Source organism: Homo sapiens, chromosome 1 (assembly GCF_000001405.40).
Source record: "Homo sapiens chromosome 1, GRCh38.p14 Primary Assembly".
NCBI classification, from domain to species: domain Eukaryota; kingdom Metazoa; phylum Chordata; class Mammalia; order Primates; family Hominidae; genus Homo; species Homo sapiens.
In genome coordinates this window covers 108,706,895-108,732,030 of record NC_000001.11, presented here as the reverse complement: position 1 = coordinate 108,732,030, position 25,136 = coordinate 108,706,895, and the positions used below count along the sequence as shown (strand labels likewise).

Below are 25,136 nucleotides of genomic sequence, written 5' to 3'. Positions count from 1 at the left end.
CATTAGGTGCCAATAAGGGCATCAAATGGATTCCTTAGTAACTAAGTTAAAGATCCTACTGTATAATTTTTAAAAGTTATTATAATCAGGCTTACTTGATTTATTCTTAAAAGAATAAGCAATGGGTCATATTCTGAGAACTGGATATCAAGGTGAGAACTTAAGCAGTAAATCTAATACAAGATAATGGGTCAAAAGAAAGTACATACCAGCTGACATACGTGCAGCATGTTCTGAATGTTCTCACATTATGATTTATTTTGATTCTCAAAACAACTTCGAAGGAAAATATTACTATTCCTGTCTTTTTCAATGAGGAGACAGAATCAGGGAAGATTAGGCAACACAGCTTATTAGAATCCATGTCTAATTTTGACTCCCAGTTAAGACTCTTTCTACTACCTCTAGGATGCCAAAATTATATTCCAACTCTTCCATCCCATGCCCCAGGCAGAGGTAACTTATCATTGTACTTTTTCTCCTTAAGCCTAGGAAGCATCCTCAAGAGTTTTATCAAAACCGTGTTACAAGCAGCCACTTCAGTGAATTAGAATCATGCAAGAGATTTGGTAACCTTGCACTGCTTTTACTTTCCCCTGCTATTCCCTAATGGTTTGGTCTTTGTGAAGAACAAGGTACAATACTGTCAGTAGACAGATGTCTTTGCTCTCTTAGCCTGTTGAAATAAGAAACCATTGAAGCAGCTGAAGAAGCTTAGAAAAGAGAGGTAGTAGCACAATAATAATGAGAAGAAAAAAATGCAAACCAAACAGAATGTGTGATCTAGCTTTCAGAAAACTCTGCCAGGCTACGTTACTCTGTGTTGCAAGTAGCTATGTCATATAAAGATACATGGTCCCTTCAGAAAAAGCATAGAGGAACATTGTTACTAGGGGAGTTAATTCACCAACTACCAACAGAAGCCTCTGAAGCTTTGAGGTTCTAAGTCAAAGGGAAACTATAACCATTTTAGAAAGTAATCTGAGTTTATAATGCAAACTAGGTGGAGATGCAGCATCTTTTTAAATGAGGAGGAAAGGCTCATGCCTGGATTGATAATAGTCAAGTCCTTACTGCTACTCTAGAGCTAGAGTTCACTTACCAGAGAAATAACTTTGGTAGGAGCAATCTGCAGTCAACCCGGTGGCACTAATTGCTTTTAATGTCACTGTGTAATTGATGCCACATGTGATGCATCCTAGGAGGCAGTGGTTTTGATGAGTGTGACACTTAGACTGTCCAGTGTGTGACTCCAGAACTGCAACATGGGTTTGAGCCACTCTCCCAATAGTCCAGCTCACGTTGATTACTGACTGGGTGATTTGAGTTACTGTCAGACCGGTTGGACAGCATGGCACTTAAATGGGATAAAAGAAAAAGAATTGGAGATTTATTTCCACTGAAGATTATTTGTGAAAAATGATAAAGAATGGTATTTTGCCTGTGTTTCACTCAATATCCTACATTCCCCAACTTTCCATTGTTAATAAAAAATTTCCTTTTGTTCATTCCCTCTGATGCGTCATGTAACATTCACTGTATATAGTGGGTACTTTCCCCAAGAATGCACTGCACCAACTGGCTGTTGCAGGTTTCCACCATTTTTTTTTTTCAGAATAAGAAAGACATCCTTTGTTGCCCCCATCTTCAACATTTTTTTTTTTTTTTTGAGAAGGAGATGGAGTCTCGCTCTGTTGCCAGGCTGGAGTGCAGTCAACCTCCACCTCCCAGGTTCAAGCGATTCTTCTGCCTCAGCCTCCTGAGTAGCTGGGACTACAGGTGCGTGCCACCATGCCCAGCTAATTTTTGTATTTTCAGTAGAGATGGGGTTTCACCATGTTGGCCAGGATGGTCTCAATCTCTTGACCTCATGATCTGCCTGCCTCAGCCTCCCAAAGTGCTGGGATTACAGGCATGAGCCACCATGCCCGGCCCATCTTCAACAATTCTAACTGCAAATTTCAAAGTAACGGTTGCTTTCACTTCTCCCAACAGAACATTTCATAGCATTAGCAATTAAGTATAATTTGCCTTTCTTGAAAATTTCATAGTACATCACTGATATAAAAGCTTGATTTCTTAGCTGTCTAAAATACCACAGCCATCTTGACTTTTCAGGGACCCATTACCCGAATATAGGATACCTAACATCTTCACGTATGCAGTATTTTGTATGGTCTCTATCTTACTGCTGGCTTCTTTTTTTAGGTATTTCAACTTTTATAGTCCAAAGTGCCATCTATCACTGTATATAAGAAAAACTAATGTCCACAGGCTTGAAGTGATTTGCCACGTTTCATTCATACACAATGCTACGCTGTAATAATAGTTTTCTTTTATGGAGCTCTTGCTGTGCATCAGGCATTATGCTAAGTGCTTTGCAGCATTAGTCAACTTAATACTCATAGCCACCCTATGAGGCCATTATCTCCCTTTTACCTATCAGGAAATTGAAAGTCAGAAAGCATTTTTTTTTTTTTTTGTGACGGAATCTCACTCTATTGCCCAGGCTGAAGTGCAGTGGCATGATCTCTGCTCACTGCAAGCTCCGCTTGCTGGGTTCACGCCATTCTCCTGCCTCAGCCTGCTGAGTAGCCAGGACTATAGGTGCCCACCACCCCGCCTAGCTAATTTTTTGTGTTTTCAGTAGAGACAGGGTTTCACCGTGTTAGCCAGGATGGTCTCGACCTCCTGACCTCGTGATCTGCCCGCCTCGGCCTCCCAAAGTGCTGGGATTACAGGCGTGAGCCACCATGCTGGCCAGAAAGCATTTTTTAAAGAGAAAAATTTGAAAGGGCTGAGCCAAAGAAATAAGTAACAACCCAGCTCATTTGGCTACTCATTTGTTAGCTGTTTCGATAGATTATATCATAGGGGAATATGAATTCAAATAAATGTTTTGCAGAATGAGTAAGTATTCCTTCTCTGATGCCAGTGAATGGATATACTAGTCTTGAGGATATTTTTACAGAACTTGTAAAATATTGAAAATTTTATTGTCTATGACCGGGACTCTTTGAAACGTCTCTGAGTTTAATGTATTTCTGTTGCACTGAGGGTAGATTAAATAAGGAAGTTCATGTCTTGAAACACTCCATAAGGACCCCACTGAAGTCAACATTCAGGCTGGTGGTTGCTACATACCTGTTTCCAGGGGCACACTGTAGCTGGGCAGGCTCCGTCCTGCCTGTGTTTCGGCCACAGCAGTGACAGAGAACACTGAGCCACAGGGCAAGCCCCGCATGGTGCAGGACTCTCCTGTGCTGCTGCACTGATACAGTCCTTTCTCCCCTTGGGCAGTCACCGTGTAAGTAGCATCATCATTAGTGGATCGCCAGTGCACATTAATCATGGAGAATGCATCCCTTGAAACATTTTTTATTTCAGGACTGCAAGGAGCTAAGACATTTTAGAGTATTAATTGAACCAGCATGAGTCAAAAATATCACATGTGCCATTTGGTCTAAAACTGATTTTGCCCCCAGTGAGATCATCACAGTTTTCAACCACGTCATGCATGCGGGCCAAATTCATAGTGCCTATGCGTGGGGAACTGTTGACATTAACACAGGGCATTGGGTTCATAGAGTACTGGACTAGCTGGAAAATGTTTAAAAGCATTGTGAACTCCAAAAGCAAAAGTAAGTAAGAAACATATTTATACACCTTCATGGTGTGAGTACAGGCAGGCCCCTCAAAGATAGGAGGAACCGAATGGCTGAAGTCATCATGGGCAAAACCTTCTACTCTCCCCGTGGTCTCCCCTTTTGTTTTCATTTTTTCCACTTTCCTCTTCTGCCTTCTCCTCTGCCTCTCCTTCGTACAACGGGGGCTCTCTTGGTCTCCACAAAGATTGATTAATGGGATTTAACCTTTTTATTGGTCTCACTGAATGCCCATCCTGAGGCTCAGAGCTGGGGTGAATCATTCAGACACCAGTGAGTGGAATGATAGCTGTGCCTTACCTGTGGTTATGAACTGGGGAGTACATGACATATTGCTGCCTCGGACTTCATTGAATGAATACACTGTGATGTTGTACTTGGTGTCACACTCTAGAGCCGAAAGGGTGCACGCAGGAGTAGTGTCATTGCACTCAACCATGTTGTACCCATCTACAGCCTTGGTTTCATACAGTTCGGCACCACGGACAGGAGACCAGACAATCTCAACTCTGTCACTGGACACCAACACGGGGTTAATGTCACTAGGACAACAGGGAGCTGAAAGCAGGAGCAGAGGGAAAATGGCGGTCCCATCAAGAGCAATGCAGCTGGGGGTACACTGTGTCCTGACCTCCCATGCCCAGAGCCTCTGCCACTGCCCTCCCTGATGACTACAGTGACTCCCTATGGGTCTGTCAAGGTCCAATCTTGGCCTAATTGCCACTGCATAGAGGGTAAATCCTCAGCATGACATTGAAGGTCATTGCAAGCTATAAGGTTCTGCTGTACTCCCCCCACTCCCTGCCACACCAGACTCCTCAATTCCCCCACGCCACGTGCGCCCTTGTTCTCTATGCAGAGAAGATTGCTGACCCCTCCACTGGAAAGCCATTCCCCTCTTCTGCCTGGTAAAATCATATGCAGTCTAACTTCTCAGATCCTGTCAGCCTTTCCAGACAGTAAACCAAATAAAACTGGGGGGTAGGGCTCACAGTTATATAAGTAGTTTTTTTGTTGTTGTTGTTGTTTTGTTTTTTCAAAGAGACAGGGTCTTGCTCTGCCACCCAGGCTGGAGTGCAGTGGTGTGATCTCAGCTCACAGCAACCTCTGCTTCCTGGGTTCAAGTGATTTTCAGGTCTTAGCCTCTGGAGTAGCTGGAATTACAGGCACATGCCACCACGTCCAGCTAATTTTTGCATTTTTAGCAGAGACAGAGTTTCTCCATGTTGCCCAGGCTGGTCTCAACTCCTGACCTCAAGTGATCTGCCTGCCTCGGCTTCCCAAAGTGTTGGGATTACAGGCGTGAACCACTGTGCCCGGCCGTATATAGGTAGGTCTTAAGAGACCCTAAAGAACCCCACTGGCAAATGTCTGACTCAGCTTGGAGTTTCCCTGGGATGCTCTTGCCCCACCTACATTCCCATTCATCCTTCAAGATCCAGTTCAAGGCCACTCTGGAGGGCCCTCTCGTGTCGGGACCTTATCGATAGCCTCTTTTTCCACATTCCAAAGGCACCAATGATTTAGATCCCTCATCCTGTCAAAATTTACTGTAATTCAGCTAGACTTTTACATAATTATGTTTGAGTATTCTTATTTGTAATGTAGTTATTTAATTTCAAATCACTCCACTCATTCTTCAAAACTTGAGCATCTCCCATATGCTGATCACACTATTATAAGCACTGAGGATGAAGAGATAAATAAGACATAATTCCTGCCTTGTACAAGATGCAAGCCTAGTAGAGGAGAATAATAGCAACAGCAACGGTGATGCTAATAATAAAAATATGTGCATCATGCTTTGTCACACACAAGACCTTTTTACATTCATGTTTTCATGATTTGTCCCATTTTGCAGTGGAGGATACTAAGGAACTAGCAAGGTGGGCATCATTATCCTCACTGAAGGAATGAATTAGTGGTCAAGTTAGGGTGTAAACCCAGGTGTCCTACTCCAAAGCCCTCCACACCATGTAGCGTCTTGGCCATTGTATGTCTGTCTTGGTCTCAGGGAAAGAGTGACCTCCTGAAACGGAGGCACTGCCTTCTCTCTGGCAGCAGCACATGCTAGAACACTCACTGAGTACATCTTTGTGGCGAGTTCAATCTTTCAGAGCAAGGTTGAACAACTACATTCTTTCTCCTCTTTTCACTCCCAAACCTTGCAGTCTAGTTATGCTTAGGTCCACAAAGCCAAAATTCCCTAGTCTGGAAAGAATGTGAGATAAGAGATTACTTTCTGTTCTTGGCTCTAGAATGACTCCCAGGTGGTAAGTCAATAAGTGGAATAGGTGATCCATTCTGCTGCTGAGGTTAGAGATCTCAGAACTCCCTTAACAAACATCAAATGGGACTTACCTGTGGTATAATTGAATATGTCACCCAAAGGACTTTGCCCTGCCTTGTTATAGACAAAAACACTAATAAAATAAGTGAAGCCACACTCAGATAAGAAGTTGCACTGAGTGAGAGATGTGTTGCAGTGTACTTCCAAGCCATCATCACTCTTCACAAAGACCACATAGTAGTCACCCAGATCTACACTGGACCAAGCCACAGACAGGTGGCCAGGGGGATCTTCTTGGATCGTCACTCTTCCGGGTGCACAAGCAACTAGGAAATGATCAATAATAAACATGAGACTACTGCAGGAGATTTTCTTCGCATCTTTGCAATTATCCAAGATTTCAATACAACCCAAATTAGCAACTCTGAGCTTTGTGACAGATTGAATTTGGTGCACAAAATGCAAAACTGTGCACTGGAAGCATTAGAAGATTTTCTTTATAGGACCAAAGGCTATGTTACAGGCCCCAAACCACTACAACAAATTTTAATGACCTCTCACATTCTCTTGTTATATGAAATATTGTTTGAAATAATGAGCCATCAGAGATTCATAGTCATCTTAAGACATACAAATTTTCATCGTTAGATTATTTGTTGAAATATTTGACTTCATCCAGAGATGAAGCTAGTCTGGCTTGAGTGGAATAATGAATATCCCAGAAGTTACCTGTTTTAGAGATTAAAATACAGACATCATTCATTGTGTTTTATATTAATATATTCTCTAATTCTTCCAGCAACTATCATCATTTTACAATTGAGGAAACTGAGGCTTATAGAGGTTGGTAAGTTGTCTAAGATCACATAAGTAGGAAGGAATGGAGCTGGGTCTTTCTGGGGGTTTATCTGTAAAGCCTCCATAGCATGGAAAATTCTTTTATTAAAAAAACTATTTTTTTAAATTTATTTTTTATTTTATTTATTATTTTTTTTGAGACAGAGTCTCACTCGGTTGCCCAGGCTGGAGCACAGTGATGTGATCTCGGCTCACTGCAACCTCCACCTCCTGGGCTGAAGTGATTCCCTTGCCTCAACCTCCCAAGCATCTGGGACTACAGGTGTGCACCACCATGCCCAACTAATTTTTGTACTTTTAGTAGAGACAAAGTTTCACCATGTTGGCCAGGCTGGTCTTGAACTCCTGACTTCAAGTGATCCTCCCCTCTCAGCCTCCCAAAGTGCTGGGATTACAGGCAGGAGCCAATGCGCCCAGCCTAAATTTATTTTTTAATTAATTAATTAATTAATTTTTTTTTTTTGGAGACAAGGTCTCGCTCTGTCACCCAGGCTGGAGTGCAGTGGTGCGATCTCAGCTCACTGCAACCTCTGCCTCCCAGGCTAAGGTGATCCTCCCACCTCAGCCTCGTGAGTAGCTGGAACTACAGGTGCATGCCACCATGAGCAGCTAATTTTTGTATTTTTTGTAGAGACGGGGTCTAGCCATGTTGCCCAGGCTAGTCTTGAACTCCTGGACTCAAGCAATCCACCCATCTCGGCCTCCTGAAGTGTTGAGATTACAGGCATGAGCCCCCGTGTGCAACCTGGAAAGTTTTTCTAACTGCAGCCTCTCATGCACTGAATGACAGAATACATTCTTATGCCCATTACATCCTCCAGGGAGCATCTTAAGCATAGAGTTAAGATACTAGATGCTACGAATAAGGAACAAATCAAATAGTATGTACAACTCAGTACAAACCCAGGAGACATTCTCAGATGTCCTAAAATTTATCTCACACAATAAGTGCTAGACTATGTCAAAAGCAGGCATGTATTGATTTGATTAATATTGACTGTTTCTCTGTGTTAAGGCAATACCTCATTTATCCACATAATGCCTCATTTATTGATGGAACAAAATCTTCTGAAAGAATGAATTCAAGTAAAGTTTGTTCATTCAAGTGCTAAGCTTTAAAAATTTTAGTTTTCTCTAGTGGAAATCTTCCCGAAATATATTACACACTTCTGGGCCCCAGGAGACACACCGTAGTTTGTAAACATAGTTCTTTTATTAATAAGTCAAGGTCATCCCTATGATCATGACTGTGTTATACACAAACTGCCTTAGAACATCCTGGACCTGTTAAGTGTGAAGGATTATTTCAATGGCACTTAACCCTGACTGCATAGTAGAATCAACTGGGGAGCTTTTACAAACTATTCATATCCAAATTCTATTCCCAGCAACTCCAGTTGGTCTTAAGTGGGACCTGGGTATTGGGATTTTGTAAAAGTTCCCCAGATGCTCTTAATGTGTGTCCAAGATTTAAAAACTCTGCATGGTTCTCCCCTGCATTAAATGCCTAACTGCGTAACTCAGAACTGCTATGCTTTTGAAAGTATTTTTTCTCTCTTCTCCCACTCTTAGCTATCTTGTCCTCATAATCGCTTCTAATGTACCATTCACATTAAATCACAGTTGTCAAAAGAGAAGCCAAATCATCAAGTTTGTTATCATTGACCTTAATTTAACATAACTATAAGAGAGTGCGGGCCTGAAAGAATAGCTTTATTTTTTTTTTCCTGTGGAATGGAGTGCATCAACTTGATGACAGCTCCTTTTCTTTCTGTTCAGAAGCTTTTTAAACTTAGAATGACATAACTGACTGTTAGATAAAGTAGATATTATTGTAATTGTCAACATTTTCTTTGGCTTTAAGCATTGGAATTAGGCAAACTTGAGCAGCTTGAATCTCAGCTCTACCACTTATTATCGGTGTGCCCTTAGGAAAATTATTTAACTTCTCTGAGCTTCAATTTTCTTATGTAAAAAAAGAGAAAATAGAACCCACCTCACTGAGTTGTCATGAGATTTAAATGAAATAACATACTTATAGTGCCAGAGACATAGTAGGTCTTCATTAAGTGTTAGTTTCATTAAGTGTTAGTTTCCATCCCCAAGACACATAGATATTTCTAAATAGAGGAGTCAACTTCCACATGTGTATGTGGTTATCTCTCTGATAAGAATGAAAATGGAAAAATATCTAAACGCATGTTCAGAACTAGAAATATCCTATCTTTTTCTTAAAAAATGGCGGCTCCCACCAAGCCTAGGACATGAGACATGACGCAAAGAAGACGCAGTTATCTGTATGCACAGTTAGAGCTGTGTACAACTCAAATCACATCTTAGAATTTTCACAGCTTTACAAAGGAAAAAGAAAAAACTAATTAATGAAAGATCTGGAATAGAAACCAGGCCTCCTAATTTTCCAAAAAGTGCTTTTTGCAATACACAATATCTCGCTTCACTATCAATATTATTCAAACTCATGAGAATGTCCAACTCTATGCTTTCATTTAGACCAGGCTTTCATTTTCATTTTTTCCAGAGTATTCAGAAACATTGTCAGTGAACGTCTCCCTTACAGCAGTCAGGGCTGCAAGCCCGACAGCAGTCTCACTCTTGTTTACATACCAGTTTTCAGGGTCATTGCTGAAGATGATTTGCTAGATCCAGCATCATTACTTGCTAAAACTGAAATCAAGTATTCAGTTCCACACTGGAGGGAAGAGATGGTGCAGGAACTGAAAGTTGTACTGCAGGTCAGCTCTGAAGAGTCGCTCAAAGCCATCACAGTATAATTGAAAGCTCCTTCTGCCCGTGCCCAGGAAAAAGATGCCTTCAGAGCTCCACTATCGAAAGAGACTTGAATGTTGGCAGGGGCCCGAGGACCTACATTTTAGAGAAACAATTAAGATTTTGTAGTAGCCTTACAAACTACGTAAGAGTTGGCATAACAATGTTGCAGAGCCTGGAGGATAAGGTACCCAATAGTTGGATAATTACAAGTGTTCAAAGCATAAAATTGGGATTTAGGATGATGCCTGGGAACTGGTAATTCATCTGCTACTATGCAAACTCATAATATACTGTGTGACCTTGACCCCATATTATTTACCCTTTTTGTTATTTATTTTTTTCTTATATCTAAATAGATCTAATAAGATCCATGCCTAACACCTATAGGTGCCAAAAGACATATTTTGAATGAATTAATGCATTATTTAATAAGTAGTTAAAATAGTTAAATGAAATTATAAATGGGGAGAACTAAAAGGGCCACGTGGGTACGTTATTATTAAGTGATAGGTCAAATATTTTCTGTTATTGATCAATGAAACTAAACATATCCCTTCGTTACTTTTGACATCTGCTACAACTTTTACTGTAATAGCTTTTCGGTCATAATTGTTTCTAGAGGAGCAGATTTTCTTTCCATTCATTATCAAAAGGAAGGAAGGAAGGTGTCAAGTGTGATGCATACATATTAAGGCAGTCTTTTAGTGTCTCCAAAACACTTAACCCTACATTCTTGTAAATATACCTTCCTTTCTTAAGAGTTACCGCATTAAAAAAGCGTAAGAAGGTGTCCTGGCCTGGGGAGGGGAGAAATTGGCCTCCGTTCTTTGGAATCTGTACTGTAATAACGCCCACGCAGCAGGCCTTAGGAAACTGCTTAAACAGTCTGTGAGCAGAGACCAGCATCCTCTGGACATGTCTGGGACAAACAGGGAAGGCCTCTTTTTTTTCTTTTTTTTGAGACGGAGCCTCGCTCTGTCGCCCAGGCTGGAGTGCAGTGTCGCAATCTTGGCTTACTGCAAACTCCGCCTCCGGGGTTCATGCCATTCTCCTGCCTCAGCCTCCTGAGTAGCTGGGACTACAGGCGCCCGGCACCATGCTCTGCTAATTTTTTGTATTTTTAGTAGAGACGGGGTTTCACCATGTTAGCCAGGATGTTCTTGATCTCCTGACCTCGTGATCCACCCGCCTCAGCCTCCCAAAGTGCTGGGATTACAGGCGTGAGCTACCGTGCCCGGCCGGGAAGGCCTCTTTGAGGACATGAGGACCTAACTCATTCTCTGTAAGGCAGGCATCTGCCATGATTTTCCCGTGGGCCATCTTGACAGGCCCCTTCCCACTGCATGGTCAGCTAGTCTGCAGAGGCAGTTCTGCTTTAGGGAAGTGCTGGGCCCAGGGCTGGTAGGGGTAGCCTGCAGTGTTTTAGGGCAACTTGCTTTTCCCACAGGAAGCATGGGAGAACTAGGAAAAATAGGTAGAGTAGTGAGAGCCTGTTATGAGTTGACTTGAGTTCCCTCCAAGTTCATATGTTGAAGTTCTTGCCCCTAGTACTCTCAGAATGTAGCCTTATTTGGAAATAGGGTCATAGCAGATGTAATCAGGTAAGATGAGATCATTAGGGTGGGCCCTCATCCAATATGGCTGATTTCCTTATTAAAAGAATAAATTTGGACACAGATACACATATATAGGGAAAATTCCATGTGAATGTGAAGATAACCATCTACAAGCCAAGGAGAGAGGCCTGGAACAGATTCTTCCTCACATCCCTCAGAAGGAACCAACCTAGCCAACACCTTGATTTCAGACTTCGTAGCCTCCAGAACCATGAAACCAAACATTTCTATTGTTCAAGTCACCCAGTTTGTGGTTCCAGCAGCCCTAGGAAACTAATCCAGAGGTGAAATCTAAACTCTGTAAAGCTTTGTAAAACATGGGGAAACCTATGTAGGGGAAGTCTTTAAGAAACAAGTTATTCTAGGGGATGCTGTCTCAGTGCCCCAGCCTGATGAAGATGCTGCCTCCTGTGCCTCGCTGTGTCGGCAGCCTTCTGCCAAAGCACTGGTCAGGTGAAACTGGAAACGCTGACTCACCATTGGTCTCTCCTTTGACATAGTCCATTCTTTGAATGGAGGGATCATGCTTTATTTGCTTTTGTATTTCCATCAGCTAACTTATGCCCAGCACACAGTGGGCCCTCAACAAATGTGGAAAGAAAAAAGCAGTGTGAAAGGGAAAGGAAAGGGAAGGACAGGAGGGGAAGATAAGGGAAGGAGGGAAGAAAGCAAGCCAGCCAGCCTAGGAAAAGGCCCAGGGAGACTGACTTGTCACAGACATCCTGACTCACCAAGACTGTCATGAATCACCGCAGGGCTATGATTATACTACCTCCCTAGGGAAATAGTATAAAAGGCAAACCCCTCTCTTCTCCCTACATTCTGCCTTGGCCCATACACTATGGGGCTTCCATTCCCCTCCAAACTTAGGGAAAGTTGGAGAGAACATTTCTGGTTTCTTTCCATCCTTTCCTGTGTCCTCCCCAAGTGGAGAAACAGCTAATCTGGTTGGTGAGAGTCTCCTATCTATGTAGGTTACATTGCCAGTGGATGGCTTACTCTGCCTCAAGGAAAGAAAAAACACCCCCTCTCGTTCTCTCTCTCTCTCTCTCTCTCTCTCTCTCTCATTCGCTTGGCTCACTCCAGCAGCTCAATTTGGACCTCCAGTTGTAATGCTGCAGAGTCCTTTGCTCGGGGGACCTCTAGGTGGGACGGTGAGAAAATGCACACCAAGCTTCAGCTTCTCCCCACAGCTGGAGGAGCAATAGTGGGAAGCCCCATGCTGACTTCAGACCCAAGCTGAGGCCTTTGGGAAACAGATCTGAAACATGAATTCCACTGCAGCATCAAGCACTGTGCCTGCAGAAACCTTGCTTTGCTTGCTGCTGTATCTCTAGAACAATGCCAGCTCAAAGTTGGCACACACTCACTCAGTATCTGCTGAACAAATGAATTCCTATTTGGCCCAATTCTTATACTAATTGGCCTGAACCCAGAAAGGGACAAGGGGTGATGGGTAAACTTAACAAGAATCATCTTCTTTTGTGTGAGGTCGAATGTGAATGCTGAAATTGAGTTGGATATTAGAGGGCGGAGCCATGCTGTGTGCATTCTGAGTAGCATTTCTTTATCCATGCAGGAAGCGTTTAAACTACCGAGGAGGAATAGACAAGGCACTATAAATAACTTTATAATAAATTTAAATAGCTGTTGCCAGCTGCTCTGTACTTGTCATGTAACACTGCCCTTGATGGCTGCAACACACAGCCCCCCTCATTAATCAAAAGTAGAATTGTTCGAGGCTGAGCTGAGAAGTTCTTACTTGTTCTCTGATTGCAGGTGGAGTCATCCCCAGGGATTCTGTTGGCATTCCATGCATAGGCCTTTATGGTGTAGAGAGTTCCGGCTTCTAAACTGGTGAATGTCAAGGAGGTGTTTGTAGTATTCTCTTTCCATATACTCCCCAAGCCATTGGCTCGCATAATGGACACGGAGAATGCAATTGCCATATATACAGCTTCCCACTGCACAAGAATGGAGTCTGAACTTGGAGAGCTTACTTCTAGAATTGGTGCAGCCAACACTAAAAAAATAAAAACACATGCATTTGTGTTACCAAAGTCCAATAGAGGATAATTCAAATTTAGAAGCAAGTAAATTGATATCCATAATATACAATAATTATTTGCTTTAGAAGAGCATTCACAACAAAGTTTCATTAAATAATTGCTATTTAAGTGTATACTAATCATAAATGACTTGGCAGAGGAATGGGAAACAGAGAAACGCTAAATATCAGGCACTACTTTTAACTGAAGTTAGTCAGAAATTAGATAAAACATTCCTATAATCATAATATAAATCAATGGGAAAATTAGGGGTTACACCATTTTAATGTGCACATAACTTTTCAGAAATATGCCTAGGTACAACTTTATCAAATCAATTTCAGTAATGCTGATGACAAACTCCAAATGCTTTTATTTGTTTTGTTAACATATATGCCATACGGTCAGAGTGCAGCAAAATCCCTTCTCTGTGTTCTTCATTTGGCGTGTTAAAACCAGAAATCCCTATTTCAGAGATTTAAAAGCTGGGATGCTTTTAAAGATGCCCAGAAATGGGCTTTATTTTCCAAAGCAAAGCAGCTGGCATTTAAATGCCACCTCCTCCGCAGATAGCTGAATTCTCAAACAGCATCATTTGGTAGCTTTCACTTCTGGGCCTTGAATTGTAGGCACTCATGTGACACCAAATCACATTCTGCATTTGCAGCACCAGGATAACTGATCCAAGTCACAAGCAAACACTCAACGGAGGATGAGCATCCATCCAGCCACCTGTCTTTGCCTGCTTTGGAGGTGACGCCTGGCTTCTCCCAGCAGCGCTGATGGATCTGATGGTGATTTCATACCAGGTTGCAGCCTTTAGTCCCGTCACAGTGCCTGGGGAATTGGCCACCGTGGTTTCAATGACTGTGTCCCCGTCTTCAGCCGTGAGGAGGTAACTGGTGGCACCCGGCACTGTAGCCCATTCTACAGTGATACTGTTGCTGAGTTTTGAATATGCCTGATCAATAGTGGGTATTTCAGGAGCTGAAAGAGGTTTTAGAGTTGTACATTAGCCAAGATACCTACGAGGATGACTTCTTTCATCATTTTACTCTTCAAGCTAAATCATTCTCATGCCTTCCTTCAGACAGAAGTTTTGCCCTTATTATTCAGATCAAGGAAAAACAGAGAAAAAGAAAGACAAAGCTACTCTCCAGAAGAGATCCAGAAAGCTCAAACCTCTCATTCAGGGATGGGATTTTAAAGTTTTCCCCAATTGCCTGTGGGGTAATTTGCACTTTTTGTACTTTTAAAAGAGCTAAATAAGAATGAGAAGTAATTACGGGAAAGAACTCTGGGAAGAGAGAGAGAATAATTGAGAGGCTTTCTTCCAGAGTATTCTACTCCAATTGGGCATTCTGTGACTTTTGCAGGCTGCTTTGCCATTGATCTCCCCTCCTGGTCCCACAGCCATCCCACTGCCTCCAGCTGGACCCATCTCCATTCCTCCTGCCTCCGCTCAGTGGCTGCGGTCACTCTCTCATGCACTTTGCACGTTTTCCAGATAACCTTTAATCCAATGGAGCAAGGAGGGAGGATTGAGTTCTTTGTTATAATTACTCCATAGCACTTTCTTTCATATTATCAGAGTGGAATAATTCTCAGATTCTTCCATACAAAATAAAAGTAAACTTTATTCTCCCTTTCTCTATCACAATATCTGCCTCAGCATAAGAATGTGATGGGCCGGGCTATGGTTTGCCAGGAGATATGAATGCTTATGTCATGGGCTTACACAAAGCATTCCTACACTCAGGAGTATGGAGTAGGAGATACAGCACAGTAATCAGATTGACTACTTTACAAAATTCCATAGATGCAAAAATGTCTTGGATATAGGAGATCTAAGTGGAAGAAAAGGTCAAACAAAAATAGCTGAGTTTTATTTGAAACTGGCACTTGGACTTTCAGGTTTAATGTACTCCACTTGCTGGGTAAAATCACTATATGTCAAATTCAAAACTAAAGGGAAGACAAACAAGCAGAACTATAGGGCAAAGAGGGAGAAGGAGTAAAGACAGACAGGTGATTCTCCAGCATCAGCTCCCCTTCTCCCAGAGCCAAGTCCCTATGTGCACGATACAGACAACTTTCTCTTTCTGTACCAATAGCCCAGAGAGTTAGCTTTGGCAGCATCTCAGAAATAACCATGCTGCAAAAATGAACAAAGTCTCCTCTGTGCCCTGGCCAGACATTCCTTGAACATCACCCAGGATAGTCTCTTTTGCCATTGAAAGAAAATTATGACACTTATATATGCTGGAGGAAAATCTCAGGCCTGCTCATCATAGCCACTTGCCAGTGGAAGCCAATTCTATAGGAAAGGGCTTCGCTCCCTCTCTCCCCTACAGAATAGAAAGCCCCAGCAGGGGCTCCCTCTTCCAACACACACACACACACACACACACACACACACACACACACACACACACACACACACCTCTCTTCTGCTCCCCAAGCTAATGATCCTGTGCTATATGCCTTCTTTCCTCTAATTTTCTGGTGTCTCTCAACTCCTTCTGTTTCCTCTGTCCCCAGAGTTAATCTTATCTCCTATGTTACCAGTTCTGTTCATTGGAATGAACTAACTTCCTGGGAAAATGACAGCCAAACTGGCCACAGACACAGGAGGCCGGATCATGCATTCACGGAGCAGTTTGAAAGGCATCTAAAAGGCTAGCATGACACAGACCCTCTCCCCACAGGCCTGTCATGGGGCCCGCGGGCTCCACAAAACTGGCCTCATGGAATTGATCTAGGAGAGGCACATTTGCTTGGAAGTCATAATGCAGGAAGCCAGTATCACAGAATGAAACTCGGGGTTGTGTGGTGGGAAAATAGCAAAGGGTTTGGATTCAGGAGCTCTGGGTTTGAGCCCTGGCCCTGCTATTTACTTTTGTGTGTGAAGGCATGCAAGTCATTTTACCTCTTCTAGACTTGTTACCTTCCTTGACAAATACGGATTATTAATACCTACATATTAGGATTTACTTTGAAATTTAAAATACCTGCATTTTAGGATTGTTGTAAAGAATAAGTGAAATAATGTATGTTAGGGCACTTGGAAAGTGTGTGTGTGTGTGTGTGTGCGCGCGCGCACGCACGCGCATGTTTGTGTATGAGCCAAGACAAGTAAATTTTGATGGGTTCGGAAAAGCCAGACCATATGGCGCTGCCATGGAGGGGTCCTGTGAAAGTGGGATTCTGAGGAGTATGCGGCAAACACAGGCTGGAGAGAGAGATTGTCTGTTTTACACCTGGTTTTAGGGCAGGCTGTGACCAGCATCAACAATGAAATGAGATCAACACCTATGTAGTATGTTGCCCTTTAGTAGATGAGAAGCTGGAGTGTAAAGTCCATAAAATAGCAGCAGTTCCTTACTCTTTCTTACTTCTATGTTTAGCCCACTGACTGGACTGATGAAAGAGAAAACTTTATTCCCTAGATGTGCAACCAACCACTCTGGTCAGTCAAAAATGAACCCTTTGATTCTCAGCATCTGTGCATTCCACCAGCTCAAAGAGATCTAAATTAGCCCACGAGGCCCCAGTGACCAGACACAGATACACAGCAATACCAGAGCCCAAAGAGAATCAAAACACACACAACCAAAATGAAACCTTCTATACAGTGTAGCTAAAACACATTCTATCTGTTGAAAAGCCGGGACTCAATTAGCAATTGAGTCAATTAGCAGCAGCATCAGTAGCTTAGCCTGACCCACCATTTCTCTAGATTAGTGCAGATGCTATAAACACCAAAAAGGGGCCTGTTCTGAGGGCTTGGTCTGTCCTGGGTGTGCTAGGACCTTGTAAGAGACGGCAGAGTTAGATTCTGTCCACCCAAAGTCGACTTATTTAAGAAGCCGGCCGGGCGCGGTGGCTCACGCTTGTAATCCCAGCACTTTGGGAGGCCGAGGCGGGCGGATCATGAGGTCAGGTGATCGAGACCACGGTGAAACCCTGTCTCTACTAAAAATACAAAAAATTAGCCGGGGGTAGTGGCGGGTGCCTGTAGTCCCAGCTGCTCGGAGAGGCTGAGGCAGGAGAATGGCCTGAACCTGGGAGGCAGAGCTTGCAGTGAACCGAGATTGCACCACTGCACTCCAGCCTGGGCGACAGAGACTCTGTCTCAAAAAAAAAAAAAAAAAAAAATGCCACTTTGTATATGGCCAAGCAGACCCTCCTATAGTTTCCTGGCTAATCCTAAAGATCTCTCAAGAATAAGACAAGTAAATAAGAATAAAGCAAGAGGTGGGGTGTTGCTATGTTGCCCAGGCTGGTCTTGAAATCCTGGGCTCAAGCAATCCTCCCATCTTGGCTTCCCAAAGTGCTGAGATTATAGGCGTGAGCCTTGGTACCTGGCCAGGAAATAGAAATTTTTAAAAACTTACTGTATATGCATGAATTTTATGAAATTTCATGGCTCAGACATGTATCTGTATCAAATTTTTTAACTGTCTTAATTTCACTTCCTTTTCTGTGGTGTAGACAAAATAATAAATAAAAATTTTTCTAATTTATGTTGAATCACTATGAGAATTTATCGGTGATATGGTTGATATTATGTGGTTCCTACAGATAAGTTAACCCTCCTAAAAATAAATTTCCATTCCAGGTACTTAGATTTCTAGCACAAATGAGCTAGGAGGGGCCTCTAGATAAATTATTTTTGCCTTCGGTTATCTACTCAAGAAAGATGGAGATCAACTATTTTTAAAAGAGGGTCCCCTTTCAGCCCTGAGTGACTATTGTCTATATTTCAAATATGCAATATTAGAAGTATAAAGTTCTTTTTAAAGTAGGGAATATTGACAATTTAATCAAATATAACATTTCTCATTTTCCCTCTAATTCCCCGGAAGATAAACAAGAACATTTGTATAAATTAGACTCTGTACAATATCTTAACTGGAATGATGATCATTGTAATATTTCACACATGGCTAACCGTATATGAGAAAATGCATGCCTACATGGCTCTGTACATTATAGTCCTCAGCAAGAACACTTTATGAAGATTTGTCTTTCGAGTTCAATCCATTTATTTGTCTTACCAGTTATTGTCTCCCCAGGACCCAATAGAGTGCTTAGCACCCAGTGTGAGTGCTCAGAAAATATTGAATTTTTTTTTCTCATATAGCCTTTAGATTTCAGGGTAGCCCGTGAATTAACAATGGAAATTAAAATCAAATACGAGAAGGAAAAACTTGCAGGTCAGAAAATTGTACCTGATTTTGCTGAAGCAACCTGAAAAGGAAAGTTTGGAAAATTAGAACCACACAGAAAAACACAACTTGAACAAACGTAAAACATGAATAAAAGCGGTAATAAATTAATCACAACATTTTTACATCTAACGTGAGCAGTCTTTCAATCCATACAAGTATTTCTCCACACAAATCATTTCCCAGCACCCAAATCTACCACAAAACAACTCTAAATAGAATTTAGAGGCTGGAGGCAGATCCCATTACTATTTCATTTTTTTCCCCTTTGAATCTGCCTATTGAACTAAGTCAGTAGCTGCTGACAGATTTTTCAGAAATCTTTGTTCTTAAAATATAATGATAATCTTGTTTTCTTTCTCTAGTATATGGCATTAAATTTCAAACACGCAAACATATACAACCTCGGTACAAACCAAAGTATTCTGATTTCTATCTCCCTATTCCCCAACTCCTCAAAAAAAAAAGGAGAGAAAAATAATGTGTCTTTCTTTTTTCCCCTAAATAGTTGTGGGTAGTTGGAATGATGAACTCACCATTTTAAGACAGATAAGAATGAATCCAATCAAAGGCAAACATGTCTCTCGTCCACCAGCCATCCTGTTGGACATAGTACTCACATGGCACAAAACAAAGCAATCCGGGTCCTCTTTGGCCCCCAGGAGTATAACACCGTTGGTCGCTGGGATGTAGGGCTGTGATGCTGGGAAGAGACCCTAGGAAGTAGCTCCTCCCCTTCAGTGTGGAGCTGACCTGTAACCAGGGGCACTTGGAGACCGGCAGGGACAGGTATTGCAAAGACTGAAAAGAAGAAGAGAGTTGGAGAAAGCCACGGCAAGCGGGCCAAAAAGCTACTGTAACCTTGGTTTCAAAGCAACCTTCTTTTTAAAACAATTTCTGTCTAAATAAAAATTTTAGAAAGCTGCACAGAAAGTTGTTGATGTGGTAGAATAATTATTTTGAACTCGGGGATGCTGACCAGTTTTATTTTTCTTTTTCACCTTTATTTGTTGTTGTTCTTTTAGTTCAAAGTAAGTGATTGGTCCTACTGTCAGGAAGAATTTGTTGCAAAACTTCAACATGGAATATGAAAGGGCAGGAGCATGTCCCTGTACTGAGAAAGATAGTGAGAGGTCCCTGGTGAGCACATTAAATTTATCCATCCCCCGTACCACCCTGCAGTTCCAGTACCTTTTTTTTTTTTTCATTTTTTTAGAGACAGGGTCTTGCTATTTTGCCAAGCAGCCTCCAACTCCTGGGCTCAAGCAATCCTCCCACCTCTGCCTCCTGAGTAGCTGAGACTACAGGCATGCACCACTGCGCCTGGCTAGTTCCTTTTATTTCCGGAGCTGTCTTCCTAGTTCACACTCTTAATAATAATTAGCATTTAATTTAAGAATTACAATGTATAATTTTAACAATGAACAGATACATAAATGAATAATAAACATAATTAATTGGCTTATCTGAAATCACACAAGAATTAAATGATCAAACTAGAGTTAAAACGCATCAGTCTGATTTCTACTTTCAACCAAGATAGGATTACAAAAAAGGGAAAAGAACTGCATTTACCGTCCCTGACTTTAAGATTTACCATAAAGCTAAAATAAAATAGAGACCGGGTGGTATTGGCATGAAGATAGATAAATAGATCAATGGGACAGAGAGTCCAAAAATAAACCCACGCATATATAGATAATTGATTTTCAACAAAGATACAAGGCAATCCAAAGGAGAAAGAATAGACTTTTCAACAGATGGTGCTGGAACAACTGGATAACCATATGCAGAAAACATAAACTTTGGTTCATACCTCACACCACATTAAAAAATGAACTCAAAATGGATCATAGATCTAAATGTAGCACCTGAAACTATAAAATGTCCAGAAAAAAAAACACAAGAGAATATCTTTGTGACTTTGGGTTAGGCAAAGATTTCTTATATACAACACTAAAAGTATAATCCATTTTTAAAATTTGATAAATTTGACTTCATTAAAATGAAGAATATCTGCACTATTAAGGGAATGAAAAGATAAGCCACAGACTGCGGGAAAATATATATCTTATAAAGGACTTGTATTCTGTGTGTGTGTATTCTCAAAACCCAGTAATAGGAAAACAACTCAATACAAAATGGGCAAAAGATATGAACAAACACTTTACAAAAGAAGACATACTCGTGGAAAATAAAGGCATGGAAAAAATCCTCAGCATCACTAGTCATTAGCAGAATGCAGAAAAGGTTTTTTTTTTTTTTTTTGGAGACGGGGTCTCATTCTGTCATCCAACCTGGAATGTAGTGGCGCAATCACACCTCACTGCAGTCTTGACCTCCCAGGCTCTAATGATCCTCCCACTTCAGCCTCCTGAGTAGCTGGGACCACAGGTGTGCAGCACTACACCTGGCTAATTTTTGTATTATTTGTAGAGATGGGGTTTCACCATGTTGCCCAGGCTGGTCTCAAACTCCTGGGCTCAAGCCATCTGCCCACCTTGGCCTCCCAAAGTGCTGGGATTATAAGCGTGAGCCATTGCGCTGGGCCCACAGAATGCAAATTAAAACCACAGTGAGATACATACTTATTGGATGTCTAAAATTAGAAGCTGGTCATTGTGGCTGTGCCTGTAATCCCAGCACTTTGAGAGACCAAAGCAACAGGATCACTTGGGGTCAGGAGTTTTGAGAACAGCCTAGGCAACATCGTAGGACCCTGTCTGTACAAAAAATTTTTTAAAATTAGCTGGATGTGGTGACATGCGCCTGTAGTGCCAGCTACTTGGGAGGCTGAGGCGGGAGGATCACTTGAACTCAGGAGGTCAAGCCTGCAGTGAGCCATGATCGCACCACTGCACTCCAGCCTGAGCAATAGAATGAGACCCTGTCTCAAATAATAAATAAATAAATAAATAAATAATAAAATTAGAAAGACTGAGTAAACTAAGTGTTGGCAAGGATGTGGAACAATCAGAAATCTCATACCTGGTAAGAATGAAAAATGGTACGATCATTTTGGAAAATAATTTGGCTGTTTCTTAAAAAGTTAAACACATGCCTCACCATTTCACTCCTAGGTATTGACTCAAAAAAAATGAAAGCATATGTCCATACAAAAACATACAGGAATATTCACAGTAGCATTATTTTTAACAATCCTCAAACTATAAGCAAACCAAATGTCTGTCAGCCAAAATAAGTAATAAACAAATGAAATTTTTCCCAGCAAAAAAAGGAACACACAAAAACATGGATGAATCTCAAAAAAAGTCAGACCTAAAAAAAGAATACAGATGGTTTGAACTAATCATATAAATTTCTAGAAAATGCAAACTACTCTTAAAAACAGAAAGCAAATCAGTGGCTGCCTGGGGATGGAGAATGGCAGGAAGGAGGGATTACAAAAGTGCAAGAGGAAACTCTTGGGGGTGAAGAACATGTTCATTATGTGAACTGTGGTGGTGAATTTATGAGTGTATACATATGTCAAAATGTATTGAGTTTATGTCTTAAATATGTGCAATTTATTAAATGCTACTTATACCTAAATAAAGGTGTTTTCAAAAATCAGTCTAACTCCAAACCCTAAGCTCCTTCCACTAAACCACTCTGCCTTATGAGCTGACTACTATGAATTTAAGGCGTTTCAATTTGTGCACCCATCAAATATATGTTGACATATTGAGGACCTAATGAAGACCAGGAACTATTCAGGACATGGAAGATACAAACAAATCAGAACCCTGTCCTCTTGGAGCATGCACTCTAGCAAAGGAAGGCCAAACCAAGCAGCTAAAGTAATAAAATATGTTGAGTGCTGCTAAATTTTATGAAGAAAAAGTGGAGTGATAGGAGAGAATACAGCTGTTAGGGAAGACCTCTCTGGCAACCAGATGCTTGAGCACAGGCCTAAGGGAAGTGAAGGAGTGCATCCTTTGGAAACTTAGGAAAAGAACATCCAGGCAGAAGGAAGTGGAAGTGCAAAAGCCCTGAGGAGGGAGCAGCTTGGTTAGAACAGCCTGTGCTCTTACGCCCCCAGCAGCAGGGAGTGTTGGTGGTTGACAGCTCCCGCTCAGTCTCTTGCAGACTTGCCCTTGGCTCATGAGAGCTGCCTGGCTCAAAGTCATACCTGCTCCCTGGGCCACCTACATCCAGTGATTGGTGGATAAAGGAATGTTAGTGCTCCTGGCCCGGATTCAGGACAACTCTGGAGGGGAGATCTGGATGGTACACCATGGTGTCCACCAGGGCAACGGAGGCACCTAGGGTGCAACATTTAAAGAACACCCACTCTCCAGTTCGCTGAAGCCCAGAGTTCCAGAAGGGGGCAGCACAAACCCCTCAAGTGGGTCATTGGGAGTGATGGCAAACAGGACCAGTCATGTTCAGTCACTTGTGTGCACAGAGTAGACAGAGAGTTGTATCTAACTTGGATTGGAGTATTACTAGACAAGGGTGATGGAGACCGCAGTAAGGGAGTTAAGAGTGTTTTCAAGGATGTGATTTATAATATTGTACAGTGGAAACTAAGCTGGGTAAGCAAGGAACTGTGGCTTGTAATACCTCACTGCAATGGAGGCTAAAGGGGCTGCAATGGAATGAAAAGTTGGCAGGAGCAATAGAATGGAGGACCCAAGGGAGTTAAAGAATTGTTGGAGAGGATCTTAGAGAAAGTAAGCAGGAAATATAGGAGTTGGTGATTAGAGAATGGGATGCTTGATTGAAATGGAAACCGTGGAGAAGTGCCAGTTATTGATGATGGCCAGGTCTATGATGTAACCATTGGAACTGGCAGCTGAGGTCAGATGGAGGAAAAAAATCATTGGAGGTCAGGAGGTCAAAAAATTGAGAGGTCTGAGTATTGGAAAGATTGTTCAATGGATATTGGAATCACTAAGAATTATGGCAAGAGTGGTGAAAGAGGTATTGAGCCTCTATTAAACTCTATAATTATTAAAATATTAGGGGAGTATCTATTGGGTATGGATGATATAGACAACTGAGGGACAGTAGATGGTGTAATCTGATGACGTGTTTTATAGGACCTAGGGGATTCAGGAAAGAGAGAAAAACAATGGTCTGGAAGTACAATGATTTTAAAGAAATGAGTTAGGAAAGATAATTATTGTGTTAGCAACCGTCTCTGGCTAATGTCAACTTCTTGGTTGTCAAAATAGGTAATGAGTGTTATCGCTGAACTGTTCCATTGGGAAACAATGCAAATAAAGCGGTTGCTTTTGTAATATGAATTTACTTTAAAGCTTTGAATGACTAAATTTACCAGCTGTCTGAAATTCTCGCTTCAGGAATGAGATTCTGCAAAGCAGTGAATGCATGAATTTTGATACTGAAGGGAATGGAGCTAAGACAACCAAGAGGGGAAATAGCTACAAGAGTAAGTCTATTTACACATTATTAGTGTACTAATAAGGTAATATCAGCAAATTTAAGATTAGTAAATAATGCAAAGGCCAGGAGAGGGACTGAAAATAAAAGATAAAGATAAGAGTCTGGAACGGAAGAGGGAGAAAATGTGAGGATGCTCCACACAAGAATCATCCACTTTCCAGACCACACATGCCTGTGTTGATGCTTCCTGACACCCACCCTCCTTCACTAAGCTCATGCGCACTACTTTAGCTTATGTTACTTGGTGTGCAATTCCAGATCTCAGAACTGTGATTAGTCGGGATTAGGTTTTGCTGAGAGTGGACAGAAAACCTATAACAGTGGCTTAACCAGAAGTTTCTTCCTGATATAAAATAGTAGAGGCAAAGCCTCCAGGAGTGGCGTGGCAATTCTATTCCACGGAGTCTTGAGAGACCCAGGCTCCTTTTTCCTCTTTAGTCTGCCATCCCTAGGAGGAGGCCCTCCTTCTTGGTCCAAGATAAAGTTCCAGCTATCACATTAAAGTTCTAAGCAGCAGAATTCAGTGAGAGGAGATAAAAGAGACTAACGATACATTCCAGTAATCTCTATTGGGGAACAATTGGCAGTCTACCACACAAATGAATGAATAAATAAATGTGATCTGGTGCATAGGTAGATCAGCCAAGGGCAGAATTTAAGACATGTAACGGAAAGATATAGAGAGAGGTGGCCAGGCGCATTGGTTCATGCCCATAATCCCAACACTTTGGGAGGCCAAGGCAGGTGGATCACTTGAGCCTAGGCGTTTGAGAGCAGCCTGGGCAACATGGAGAGACCCCATCTCTACCAAAAATATAAAAAAGTCTCCAGGTGGGGTGGCGTGTGCCTGTAGCCCCAGCTACTCAGCAGGCTGAGGTGGGAGGAGTGCTTGAGCCCAGGGAGGTCAAGGCTGCAGTAAATATGAATATGAAATGAATATGGAGATGAAGTAGGAACTTCAGAAACTAGTAAAGATTTGAAGTGGCCATTGTAGGGGATATCAAAAAGAAATATTTAGGGATATAGAAGGAATGTAGAGTAGGATTAACTCCAGGAAAACATTGGAAACTGCAAGATTTTTAGTGGCCCTAATCCATAATGTAGTCTTCCACCATGCCCTTACATCCCCCTTCTGCCAAAGGCAGACCATTTCCACCAAAAAAAAAAAAAAAAGAGGAATCATATAAAACTTCCTATTTGGGCCCAGCATGGTGTCTCATGCCCAT

General features: G+C 41.8%; 1 protein-coding gene across 1 annotated transcript in view, besides 2 other annotated features; it reads right to left on the bottom strand.

The window, feature by feature from the left end:
* The window catches only part of FNDC7 (fibronectin type III domain containing 7), a 29,842-nt gene extending 10,719 nt beyond the window's left edge, over nucleotides 1-19,123 (bottom strand). The window contains exons 1-9 of the mRNA NM_001144937.3: nucleotides 19,035-19,123; nucleotides 18,502-18,520; nucleotides 14,000-14,254; nucleotides 12,982-13,242; nucleotides 9,439-9,696; nucleotides 6,027-6,281; nucleotides 3,966-4,223; nucleotides 3,145-3,399; nucleotides 1,103-1,357 (exon numbers count right to left, since the gene is read on the bottom strand). Of these exons, the coding sequence (NP_001138409.1) occupies nucleotides 1,103-1,357; nucleotides 3,145-3,399; nucleotides 3,966-4,223; nucleotides 6,027-6,281; nucleotides 9,439-9,696; nucleotides 12,982-13,242; nucleotides 14,000-14,254; nucleotides 18,502-18,520; nucleotides 19,035-19,097 (1,879 nt within the window). The 5' untranslated portion in view covers nucleotides 19,098-19,123. The remainder of the gene's footprint in view (nucleotides 1-1,102; nucleotides 1,358-3,144; nucleotides 3,400-3,965; nucleotides 4,224-6,026; nucleotides 6,282-9,438; nucleotides 9,697-12,981; nucleotides 13,243-13,999; nucleotides 14,255-18,501; nucleotides 18,521-19,034) is intronic.
* Nucleotides 9,449-9,508: an enhancer, noted in NCBI's record as "active region_1429". NCBI's record gives its function as "activates an Ori minimal core promoter by ATAC-STARR-seq in GM12878 lymphoblastoid cells {active_cell/tissue: GM12878}" and the evidence as "EXISTENCE:reporter gene assay evidence [ECO:0000049][PMID:35858748]".
* Nucleotides 9,529-9,638: an enhancer, noted in NCBI's record as "active region_1428". NCBI's record gives its function as "activates an Ori minimal core promoter by ATAC-STARR-seq in GM12878 lymphoblastoid cells {active_cell/tissue: GM12878}" and the evidence as "EXISTENCE:reporter gene assay evidence [ECO:0000049][PMID:35858748]".
* Nucleotides 19,124-25,136: the final 6,013 nt, after the last annotated feature.